The following is a 12,719-nucleotide window of genomic DNA, read 5'->3' as shown; positions in this document are numbered from 1 at the left end:
TTATTGTATGCATCTTTGTAAACCTTAAATACATCTTTGGAACAAGGCAGGTATAAATCAATAAAAACACATAGGAGCTAATGGAAGCTCTGGACAGCTTTCTTCTTGTGAAAACAATTGTCCCTGAATGTATAGGCCAGTTTCCTGGGGATGTGGAGGGCAACTGAGGAGAGAGGTGACAGAAAGATTGAAGGGTCTTTAAATGGAGAAGTGGGCCTAGCTAGGGAATCTACCCTTGCTAGTATAGAAAAAAGTATAGGGCAATGCATTTGGATATTATCCCCCCATCATCCAACTAAAAACAATAATCACAATCCTCCCCCACCCCCATGGGGAAAATATGTATTTTTAAAATAAGGTCACCTAAGAAAATTTCTTTTATTATGGAGAGTTTTTAAAACACCTGAAAGTAGACTAAACACTGTAATAAGCCCCCATGTACCCTTCATCCAGCCCTAGTAACCGTGAACCCACAGCCAATCTTGTCTATATATTGTCATTTTTTTTTTTTTTGTGACAATGTATCGCTCTGTCGCCCAGGCTGGAGTGCAGTGGCATGATCAGGGCTCACTGCAACCTCTGCCTCCTGGGCTCAAGTGATGGTCCTACTTCACCCTCTCGAGTAGCTGTGACTACAGGCAGGCACCACCACACCTGGCTAACTTAAAAAAAAAAGAAAATTGTAGAGACAAGGTCTCACTCTATTGCCCAGATTGGTCTTAAACTCCCGGGCTCCCAAAGTGCTGGGATTACAGGTGTGAGCCACTGCACCCAGCTTAATTTTTAAATCAAAGCAAAATATACATACATAAATGCATACATATAAGCAGACAGTGAGTATATTTTTACACATTGGGCACACCTGTGTAACCAGCACTCAGGACAAGGAATTGAATATAATCAAGTCCCCAGAACCCCACCTCATGCCCCTTCCCAGTTACTATTCTCCCCCTCCCCCAAGGGTGACCACTACACAGACTTCTAACATCACAGATGAATTTTGCCTGTTTTTGACCTTTCTCTAAATGGAATCATACAGTACGGACTCTCAAATCTGGCTTCTCGTGTGCAACACTGCATTGGTGAGATTCATTTAGGTTGTGTGTGCAGCCAGTAGTTCATTTAGTTTATTTGCTAAGTAGTATTCTGTTGTGTGAATGTACCACAGTTTATCCACTTTCTTTTCTTTTCTTTTTAGAGACAGGGTCTCGCTCTTTTGCCCAGGCTGGAGTACAATGGCATAGTCACAGCTCACTACAGCCTCGACCTCCTGGGCTCAGGTGATCCTCCCACCTCAGCCTCCTGAGTAGCTGAGACCATAGGTGTCTACCCCCACACCCAGCTAATTTTTAAATTTTTTGTAGAGACAGGGTCTCGCTGTGTTGTCCAGGCTGGTCTGGAACTCTTAATCTTAAGTGATCCTCTCCTCTTAGCTTCCTAAAGCACTGGGATTACAGGCATGAGCCACCGTGCCTGGCCTTATTTTTTATTTATAATTTATTTTTTATTATTTAATCAATTATTTAAGAAAGTTGCTATTATTTAATAAGCCACCTAGTCTATAGTATTTTGTCATAGCAGCTCAAAATAAGATAGTACCTAAACATTTTAAAAGGAAAAGTGGCTTGATCCAAGCCCTTCTTCACCAAAACAGCAATGAGTTTGGGCTTTCATAACCATCGCTTGCTTTTGCTGTCATGAGAACAGGCATTTTTCACTGGAGTGTAGAAAATACACAGCAGCCTCCACTATAGATAAGCCTGGACCTTCATCTATAACAGGAACAGAGAGTAAAGAGTTATCAAACATATTTGAGGAAAACCAACATCGTGAAAGAGAGGCACCAAACTAAACAAACAAAAGAACTAATCCCTACAGAATTCTCCCAGGATCTAGAGAGATATTTAAATGAAATAGAAGTACTATCCATAAATAGAGAGCTGACTGCTGTCAAAAGAATATGTCAGAGTTCTTGAAATTACAAAAAGTGCAATTGCTAACATAATAAGCTCATTGGAAAGACTGAGTAGCCAAGTGACCATGGCTGAAGACTGAACAGATGACAGGGTTGAGAGATTCTCTCAAAGAATGCAAAACAGATAAAAAGATTTTTTTTTAAGTGTAAGAGAAAAATTAAGAGACATGGGGCAGGACCTGAAATTTAACTCTCTATCTAATAGGAATTCTCAGAAGCCAAGAACAGAGAGTCTGTAAGAGAGGAGATAATCTAAGTAGTGACAGAACAAACAATTTCCCTGAGCTGGGGAAAAACTTCCATCTTGAGATTTAAAGAACAGACCAAATGCCAAACAAGAAGAATTATAAAAGGCCCATCCCTAAAGGCATCAAGATTTCTGAACTCCAAGGGTAATGAAAAAAAAAAAAGTCTAAATCCTCCAGAAAGATGAAATGTAGTAACTGGGTGGAAATGTAGTAACTGGGTGTTAAAGACCTCAGTGGGAATGCTAGAAGACAATGGCGTGAGGTCTTCAAACTTCTGAGGACAATCGTCTTGAGATTTGAGCAACGACACCCTGTTGGAACCAGAAGCTGGAAGCTTTTCCATTCCTCCTGCTTTTCCATCTCCTCCCAGTGCCCCCTCTTGGCTGACTCTAACAGGAAGGCAGCTGGGAAATGTAGTTTGCAGGCTCCTAGCCCCAGCGCTATGGAGCTGAGTTTAAAAGGGCAGGTATAGTGTGGAGTGATAACAAGTAAATGCCAGCACACTGGCCAATTAATATTCAAGTGGGAGGGCAAATTAAATATATTTTTGGACATGAAAAGACTTGGGGCCAGGCATGGTGGCACATGCCTGTAATCTCAGCACTTTGGGAGGCCAAGAAGGTCGGGAGTATGAGACCAGCCTGGACAACATGGCAAAACCCTGTCTCTACTAAAAATACAAAAAAAAAAAACAAAAAAACAAAAAAACCCCAAAAAACATTAGCTGGGCTTGGTGGTGCACACCTGTAATCCCAGCTACATGGGAGGCTGAGGCAGGAGAATCGCTTGCACCCGGGAGGCAGGGGTTGTGGTGAGCCGAGATCATGCCATTGCACTCCAGCCTGGGCGACAGAGCAAGACTCCATCTAAAAAAAAAAAAAAAAAAAAGAAAAGACAAGACTTGGAGCCAGGCACAGTGGCTCACACCTATAATCCCAGCACTTTGGGAGGCTGAGGCAGATGGATCCCTTGAGGCCAGGAGTTCAAGAGCAGCCTGGGCAACATAGAGAGACCCTGTCTCTACAAAAAAATACAAAAATTAGCCGGGCGTGGTTGTGTGTGTTTGTAGTCCCAGCTACTCATGTGGGAGGTAGAAAGTGAGGTGGGAGCTGAGGTGGGAGGTGAGGTGGGAGCTGAGGTGGAAGGATCACCTGAGCATGGGAGGTTGATGTTGCAAGTGAGAAGTGATAGTGCCACTGCACTTCAGCCTGGGTGATAGAGCCTGTTTCAAAAGAGAAAATAAATAAATGAGTAAATAAAAGACTTGGGGCCGGGTGTGGTGGCTCATGCCTGCAATCCCAGAGGATCGCTTGAGCCCAGGAGTTAGAGACCAAACTGGGCAACATAGTGAGACCCCATCTCTATATTAAAAAAAAAAAGACTTGGGAAATTTAACATTTTCTGAAAGAATTCTTCAAGATATTCTGTCATACTCAGCAAAGGCAGAGGCTCATGTCTGTGACATCCCACATGAGGGAACCAGTGTCATGGGCACCTAAGGGGAGGCAGGACATCCCAATCCAACTCTCTAGGGCTTTCCCATAGAGAAGCTTGGAGGGCAAGTGAGGGAACGCAGGGGAGTGAAGGTATAGAAAGGTGGTGTCTAAATGTAGTTTCATTAGGATGGGGCAGAGGTACAGGGTCTTCCCTGGGAAAATTTGGATCCTGACCCCAGCACCTTCCTATGTTCCCTTTTAGCAAAGTAGGACAGGCCCAGAGTGTTTGAGAGACTCCTCTGCTGGTAGCAGCCCCACCTGGGACTTCTGTGCCCTCCTGGCCTCTGGCTTTTTGGTTCTCCCTTCCCACCCCTGACCCTGTCCTGTGCTCTCTCCCTCCATCCAAACCTGCTCTGGGCTCATGAGACCTGGATCATTTGCCAGTTAATTTGCACTTTCATACGGATAATGGATTAACCAAAGGAATGAAGCACTAACTTTAGACTTTCAGGCTATTTATGGCCAATGGAAGGGAGGGATGGCTATTTCAGTACTTCTCAAATCATTCCAGAGAGGCCGCAGTTTTTACACAAGCATTTCTAGGGAAGAGAAATGCTGGGGAGAGCCGGGAAGGGTGGGGATGGTGCAGGCCCTCAGGACACCACCTGATAAACAATATCTTAAAAGAGATCTTTGAAAAAGTATGCCGAGGTTCTTTAAAGATATCTTTAAAAGGCCAGGTAATAAAGACCTGGCCTCCCCAAATGCACCAGGTCTTGCTAATTGCCCACCCACAGCCGGTCTTCTCTCCTTCCTTACTATCTGGATTAGTCTGCTCTGGCTGCCATAACAAAGGACCACACACCGGGGGGCTTAAACAACAGAGATGGATTTTCGCACAGTCTGGAGGCTGGAAATCTGAGATCAAGGTCTCGGCAGGGTTGATTCCTTCTGAGGCCTCTCTCCTTGGCTTGCACATGGCCGTCTTCTCGCTGTGTCTTCACATGGTATTTCCTGTATGCACATGTCTGTGTCCTAATTTCCTCTTTTCATAACGACACCACTCATAGTGAATTCGAGCCCAACCTAATGACCTCATTTTACCTTAATCACCTCTGTAAAGGCCCTATCTCCAAATACAGTCACATTTTGAGGTGTGGGTGGTTAAGAGTTTAGCGTATGAATTTGGAGGGAAAGCAACTTAGCCCATAACACTAACAGAACTGAAATTGCATGCATGATGGCAGCGTGCTCAGCTAAAAGCTTAGATTTCCCAGCCTCCCTTGCAGCTAGGGATGGTCATGTGACACAGACCTGCCAACAAGGTATGGCTGGAGTTCTTGGGTGGGATTTCTGGGAAAGCTCTTTATAAGAGAGGCTCATTCAGCTTGGGACTTCCATTCTGCCCTTCTTTTTTTATCCTGTGAGGAATTTGGATGTGATGGCTGGAGTTTCAGTGGCCGTCTTATTAATAAGAGCATGGGGTGATGGTCATATCCTAAGAATGAAGGAGAAAAAGGCTGGGTCTTTGGTGGCCTCGTAGATTGGCCATATCAGCCCTTGCTGGCCCACTTCTGGAATGATATTACTGGAGAAAAAGAAGAAAAAAAAACCCTCCCTTGTTTAAGCCATTGGTTTTCAGGTTTGTGTTACTGCAGTTGAACATAATATCTAATTGTCAGGGCAATAAGTACTTTGATTTTCCAGTCCTAGAAACGTGTTCCCTGCAGCCTGACATGGCAATCTGCAGGATGGGGCCTGGCTGGAGGAGGAGCGGGCTGGGGGAGTCTCTGGCACTGATGGAAAGGAGGCAGAGAGAGACGCTGCACGCTGATGACTCTAGCTGAGAAATTGGCAGGCGGCGTTAGCCCCTCTGAGGATCTTGAAACAGACGGTGTTTGAAGTGGGGTGGGGATGCCATCCTGCGTCTTCTAAGAAGCACCTGAGGATAAAAGCTCTGGAAGCTGAGGTGTCTGTAAAAGTGACATGCCGAGAATCACTAAATGGCTGTGAAGGCTCCTCAGGTCCTTTATGTTCCCTCTGCATGGAGCAGAAGGCCCCTCCACTTAGGCAGACGGTGTCCTACCCTTGAGGGTCACTGTGAGTGGCGTTTGTCTGGTGGGGTGTCACCAGTGGGGAGGGAGGGCTGTCGCGCGGCACGGAGCATGTGCGCAAGCCTTTCAGCGCATCCTCTCCCCGGGCATGCACTCAACATACCAAATGAACCTGAAGCCGGGATTCATACATGACAGCAGGGAGATAAGCCGGGAAGAAAAGGCGCGCGAGGGGGATGATGAATATTCTATTTGTGACATTTTTCCTGTATTCAGTCAAATAGAAGAAAGTGTTCAAATAACGAGCAGTCACTTTGGTGGCTACTGTGGCAGTTCCTTGGTAATGCGACACTTAACTCACTCCCCTCTGAGGAGGAGCGGCCTCTCGTGGGGTGCTGGGGGCAGATCATGGGGCGTGGCAGTGGGAATGGGATAGAGATTGTGGGAGAATGTTCCACGCCCAAGTCTGCCCTTGACTTCTACTGTTGGGGGTCCCTGAGCCTCTCTCATCCTGCTCTTCCTGTCTTGGAAGGAAAGAAAGGGAAGATGTTCTGTCGTGGGTGGGAGGAGCCAAATAGGGCTGGAGGGTTGTAAATCCCAGGGAGGGATACAGGGAGGCCCAGCCCTGGCCTGCCTTCTCTGGCCTTGGGGGCTGGTTTACTGCCACCACTCTGGTTCTGGGCTGCTGCGGGGCATGCTGGCAACAAGGCACGAATGCTGGCTGTGAGTTGAGTTGGGGTGTTTGTCTTAGACTGGCTTCTCCTAGGGTTAGGTCCTGGACAAACCCATGCAAGGAGTTCGTTTGGAATGGGAGTGGGTATGAAAAGGAAGGAGAGGAAGTCAACGCAGAATGTTGACTAATGAGCAGATAGAACTGTGAGCAGCTGGGACCCAGTCCCACTGAGGACCTGGAGGGGTGAGAAAGCTGCAGTAAGTAGCCACCAACTCCTGTACACTGTTGATGAAGGGTTACTCCCAGAACGCCAACTCCCCAAGCCTTCAGCCTGCCCAGTGGGCAGCCCGAGCAGGCTCCTGTGGCCAGGAAACGACCTCAGGCAGAGCTGCAAGCGTCTCCAGTAAGATGCTTCTTCCTGGGCTCAGTCAGTGCCAAGGGGATAGGGGTGGGGCAATGACAGTGACCGCTAAAGTGCTTGGGCAGTGCCTTGCCTGGATGTGCAGACAGATGTGGGCCAAGTGAATGCTGTTGCAGTCACCTGTTTGCTCCCAGATCCATGCCTGCCCTTTCGCACCCTGCTTTGTCTCAACAGAGAACTCCATTTCCCCAGCACCCATGTCCTCTGCTTTCCTGGTATGCCTGGCCAATGGGAGACACTGATGGAAGTCAGTGGGGCCAGATGCAGGAGGACGCCAGGGTAACTCTTCCCCATTCTCTGCACTGAGTGGCATCCGTGCAGCAGCTGGGGCTCCTCTGTGGTGCCAGCTTTTGCCAGGTGGCCTCAGCTTCTGGGTTGTATTTCTACCATCTCCTCCTTTTGTCCTTCTAGCTTGAAATGTGGTTGCGTGGTTGGGCTTGCCCTTTTGCACTTCTGTCATTGCCAGGAGAAGCATTTCCCTCTGAAGAACTGAAACCCAGTGACATTTTGGGGCCACCCATGTCTCTTTTGGCAATGATGACAGAAAGGAAGAGACTGGTGCAGGCGGAAAACTGGTAGTCTCTCTCTCAACTCCCATGTATGCTTCTATGAGTAGTACACTTACTCTGACCGAATAAGTTTCTGTTCAACATGTAAGAACAGTAGTCTGTCTTTTGCTTTCTCTGTTGTTTTTCAAATGTCTGATGAGGAAAGTTCTGTGATGGGCAGGCCATCTTTATTTCAGTTAACCCACCCAGGCCATCATCAAATACTAAAATTCGATGTGGGGCAGCTATAGGAATCTTCTGACACTGAAAACAATATCCCATTGCCACCATGGACTGGTACTCCCTGAAACAGTGTTCTGAAAACTATGGTTCACCAAAGGCCTGCCTTAGGATCATGTGGGGGCTTGTAAACATACAGATTCCTTGGCCATAACCCCAGATTTACTGACTCTGAATCTGGGGGTCTGAAGTCAGAGGAGGTGCACTTTTTTTTTTTTTTGAGACGGGGTCTCTCTCTGTCATCCAGGCTGGAGTGCTGTGGTGTGATCTCGGCTCACTGCAACCTCCGCCTCCTGGGTTCAAGCAATTCTCTTGCCTCAGCCTCCTGAGTAGCTGGGACTACAGGTGCCCACCACCAAGCCCGGCTAATTTTTGTATTATGAGTAGAGATGGGGTTTCACCATGTTGGCCAGGCTGGTCTTGAACTCCTAACCTCAAATGATCTGCCCGCCTAGGCCTCCCAAAATGCTGGGATTATAGGCATGAACCACTTAGCCCGGCTGGAGCTGCACTTTTAATGCATCCCCCCATCCCCCCGCCCCAGCCCAATAAATCTCAGGCACACAACACTTTGAGATCTACTCTTACTACGTCATAGTATTTGCTACTTAGCATTATGATTTCCTGGAAGAAATAAATCTAGAATTTTCTTTTTGAAATCTAAAAACACAGGTTATAAAAGGGGAGGGACACTGTTCTACTTATCTCTTACTACGTCATAGTATTTGCTACTTAGCATTATGATTTCCTGGAAGAAATAAATCTAGAATTTTCTTTTTGAAATCTAAAAACACAGGTTATAAAAGGGGAGGGACACTGTTCTAGTTATCTCTTACTACGTCATAGTATTTGCTACTTAGCATTATGATTTCCTGGAAGAAATAAATCTAGAATTTTCTTTTTGAAATCTAAAAACACAGGTTATAAAAGGGGAGGGACACTGTTCTAGTTATCTCTTACTGCTGAACAAGTCATCTTGAAGCTTAGTGGCATTACATAATTGTTATTTCTTATTATCTCTCATGATTCTGTTGGTCAACAGAGCTTGGCTGGGTGGTTTTTGCCTGGGGTCTCTCAGGTGGTTGCAGTTAGAAGGCAGCTAGGGCTGAGGTGTGTGAGGTGGCTTCTTCCCTTACACGTCTGACACCCTTATGTCCCTCTCTCCAGCAGAGTAGCCTAGACTTTATTCATGCTGGCTCAGGGCTCCAAGAGGCAGGAAGTGAAAACCTCCAGTCCTCTTCAAGGTGAAGTGTGCAACTGACATAGTCCTTTTCTATGGAATTCTACTGGTTAAAGTAGTCATAGGCCAGACTAGATTCAAGAGGCAGAGGAATAGACTCCATCCCTCAGTGGGGGAAGTGGCATGGTCACAGCTGGCTTCACAACTTGAGAGGCCCACTGCAAAATAAAAATGAAGGGTCCCATGATAAAAACAAAACCAAAACTAAACAAGAATAAATGCCATTCAAGTTTCCATCTTTGTTTTTGCTGCTGTAACAAAATATCTGAGATTGGGTCATTTTTAAAGAACAGAAATTTGGCCAGGCGCGGTGGCTTATGCCTGTAATCCCAGCACTTTGGGAGGCTGAGGTTGGTGGATCACCTTAAGTCTGGAGTTCGAGACCGGCCTGGCCAACAACTCTATTAAAAATACAAAAATTAGCCAGATGTGGTGGTGTACGCCTGTAGTCCCAGCTACTAGGGAGGCTGAGGCATGAGGGTCACTTGAACCCGGGAGACGGAGGTTGCAGTGAGCTGAGATCCGAGATCATGCCACTGCACTCCAGCCTGGGTGACAGAGCAAGACTCCGCCTCAGAAAAAAAAAAAAAAAAAAAAAAAGAACAGAAATTTATTTCTCACAATTCTGGAGGCTGAGAAGTTAAAGATCAAGGTGCTGGCAAGTTTGATGTTTGGTGACAGCCCTGTCTCTTCTTCCAAAATGATGCCTTATTGCTGCATCCTCACGCTGTGTCCTCACATGGTAGAAGGGACAGAAGGGGTGAAAAGGGACAAACTCCCTCCATCAAGGCCCACCCCCAACCCCCCTGGCTTTTTTTTGAGATGGAGTCTTGCTCTGTCACCCAGGCTGGAGTGCAATGGCGGGATCTCCGCTCACTGCAACCCCCGCCTCCTGGGTACAGGGGATTCTCATGCCTCAGCCTCCCGAGTAGCTGGGATTACAGGCACACACCCGGCTATTTTTTGTATTTTTAGTAGAAACAGGATTTCACCAGGTTGGCCAGGCTGGTCTCAAACTCCTGGCCTCATGTGATCCGCAAGCCCTTTTATAAGGGCACTTGATCCCATTCATGAGGGCAGAGCCCTCATGACTCAATCACCTCCCAAAGGCCCCACCCCCCAATACTGTTGCATTGGGGGTTAAGTTTCAACATGAATTTTGGAGGAGACAAAAACATTTGAACCACAGCAGGCACTGGAATATAAAGCTTTTTTCTTTCTCCCATGTGCTCTCTCTTGACTTATGGTGTTTATTTACTATTTAATGTGCTTCTAAGTAAAGAAAAATTAAAATTGTAAATTATTAACATGAATGTACCATTTATCTATATATTGTGCAATGTCAGTTTTAAATGCAAATATAAGAGCATTTAACTAGTATGCAGAATCACTGAAATTACACAATTTGTGTTTCGGAGCTCATACATGCATATGTATTTTGTTCTTACCCGAACAGTGGAAACTGTTTTATTTGACTTCTTGCTATGCTTGCATTCTACCAAGACTGTGCCTTCAGCTTACCGATGAGTCAGAAAGGACTGGAAGGAAAAGAGATTATGGGCTGCTTTATCTTTCCCTTTCCTTCCATGTCACTCTTTTTAGTGTAAGTGGTTGGCTAAGACATGGAAGTAACACAAGAAAAAATATGAGAGGGTGCCTTGGTCATTTGTGTTTTTTTCAAATGCCATCATCGCCTTCTGTTTTTTTTGCGTCTCAATCAAGTACTGTTTCAAATGGAAAGTGTGGCCTCTCAGGGCTGTCAGCTCCCCACTTCCTCCATAGATATAAAATGCTTACCTTGTACTGGCATTGAATCTCGCTGAACTCCCATGCATTGTGGGCTCACCAGAATTCTGTGCTCAGGGGGCATCATCAACACCATATGCTAATGGAGCCACAAAAAACTCAGACACACGTATCGTCTGTATCTCCTCTACTCACGCGCATGCTCCGTTGTTCCATCAGACTTCACTTACAAAGCACGGGCTCAAACATTAAATTATTAAGAATTTTAAGATGAAGACAGCAGAGTATTAAACCCAAGTGAGGCCATTCTGATCACAGGGTCCTGTGTGACTGCTCGGGTCGTGTGCCCACGAAGGTGGCCTTGGGCATCTAACGACAAAGCAGTATGCTGGTAAATGTTTAACAACCGCATGACTTGGAAAAAAAACGAAGCAAAAACAAAACCCTGATTGGTAGCATTTTCTAGCATGGCTGATCTCAAGCTATCAACAGGATGTCACCAAATGCAGAGTCGGAAAGAATGCATACAGTTGGCTCTGGAGGGCAGACCTGATGCTGCTCCAGAACGCGGTGGGTGGGAAGGCCTCCAGTACAAGGGGGGAAGGAATTGATGGCGGCCACTTTGGGTGACAACCTGGCACATACAACGACACTAAAAAAGAGAGAGAGCTGTCCATGTAAGTGTGTATATGTATAGAATGAAAAAAGACTGAAATGATATATACTAAAATGTTAACAGTGATTTTCTTGGTCATAGGATTAAAGGTGACAATAATAAAATAATTATTTTTGCTCATCTGTAGTATCCACATTTTCTAAAATAGATACGCATTACTTCCATAATAAAAAATAATAAAAAGCATTTACAGAATGCCTTGAAAAAGTTAGTACAATCTTTAAAGCATAGGTTTTGGTAGTGCAAGTCTGTAATAGTTGCTACATGCCATGAATAATTTACAAATTAAATTGATTTTAAAGCACAGCTAAAATAAATTTGATAAGATGGGGCACAGTTATGTTCTTTCTTATCATTCACATTTGTACATTTTATAGTCAATGATGAGTGACAGCCACTATTTAGAATTACAACAAAGAGCAACCATAACTATTTGTCACCTGCTCCACATCTAAACAATGGCCTGATTGTTCACCTGCCTGGCCTCGGCAGGAGCGAGGGGAACCAGAATCCACACTAAATAACCGAGTTTATGACCACCAAGGCAGAGAGGAGGAAAAGATGGTCTCTTCAGAGAACTGATGAGAACAGTAGGAGGGAGTTGAAATATGTCAGTGAGACATAAGGGGAGGGGAGAATGAAGAGGGAGGGGGTGTCAGCATGTATCAAAATCTCAGCATCAGGGCCATGAAATGGAGTTTCAAAAAGATGAGGAGATGGGAAACATTTCAGACAGAAAAGGAGAAACAAAGCAATGAGGGTGGGAGGGAAGAACCCAAAGGACAATTCCAAGAGAGACCCCTTGGAGTAACGAGTCCTTTAATGAGTTTGCACCCTGCATCCGTGTGAATGTTGGATGATCATAAAATGGGTCAGAAATTCCTAATGATCCTGGGGGTGGGTGGGGAATGCAATATTCTCACAAAATGAACTGCGCTCCACAAGAGACCTAACTGATGCCTCTATCTTCCTCTATCCAAAGTTCTCGAAGTAAGGCCCTCAGTGGGGGAGGAGCTCACCTCTTGTTTGCAGAGAGAAGTATTAAGAGGCTGTTTGACTCATCTATGCTGCATTCGGTGAAACACCAGGGACCCGGCCCCGGCTTCTCGAACTAATGCGCATATGAATCACCCAGGGATTTTGTTAAGATGCAGATTCGGGTTCCGCAGGTCGAGGGTGGGGCTGGAGAATTTGCATTTCTAACAAGCCCCCAGGTGACACTGAGGCAGCTGATCAGCCCAGTCTGTAGACCACAGTTAGTAGCAGGGTCACAGAGGGCAAAATGGCTAGATAGGCCTGCAGTCCTCCTGCAGGGTTGGGTTCTAATAAACCCCAGGCCCTGGTGGCTGCATCCTCCCGGTGCTGCTGGCTTTTGCAACGGGGCCGGCTGTTGGTTGGGAGGAAGCAGCCAGGGCCATTTCCCTATGTCCCTTCTTCCTGTTTGGGTATTCGGTTTCTCTCC

General features: G+C 45.9%; 1 long non-coding RNA gene across 2 annotated transcripts in view, besides 2 other annotated features; it reads right to left on the bottom strand.

Annotated features, from left to right (window-relative positions):
- LOC105373177 (uncharacterized) overlaps window positions 1–10,955 on the bottom strand; it is a 34,303-nt gene extending 23,348 nt beyond the window's left edge. For both annotated transcript variants that reach the window (XR_949024.3, XR_001755829.2), the window contains exon 1: window positions 10,633–10,955. This is a non-coding gene — a long non-coding RNA (uncharacterized LOC105373177). The remainder of the gene's footprint in view (window positions 1–10,632) is intronic.
- Window positions 6,638–7,139: an enhancer, noted in NCBI's record as "H3K4me1 hESC enhancer chrX:39637201-39637702 (GRCh37/hg19 assembly coordinates)". NCBI's record gives its function as "activates a minimal SCP1, AML or CMV promoter by ChIP-STARR-seq in primed H9 embryonic stem cells {active_cell/tissue: H9 hESC(primed)}" and the evidence as "EXISTENCE:reporter gene assay evidence [ECO:0000049][PMID:30033119]".
- Window positions 12,087–12,719: an enhancer, noted in NCBI's record as "OCT4-NANOG-H3K27ac hESC enhancer chrX:39631621-39632253 (GRCh37/hg19 assembly coordinates)". NCBI's record gives its function as "activates a minimal SCP1, AML or CMV promoter by ChIP-STARR-seq in naive H9 embryonic stem cells {active_cell/tissue: H9 hESC(naive)}" and the evidence as "EXISTENCE:reporter gene assay evidence [ECO:0000049][PMID:30033119]".

The sequence above is a fragment of the Homo sapiens genome, chromosome X, assembly GCF_000001405.40.
Source record: "Homo sapiens chromosome X, GRCh38.p14 Primary Assembly".
Classification (NCBI taxonomy): Eukaryota; Metazoa; Chordata; class Mammalia; order Primates; family Hominidae; genus Homo; species Homo sapiens.
The sequence above is the reverse complement of the archived record's forward strand: the minus strand, read 5'-3'. Positions and strand labels throughout refer to the sequence as shown.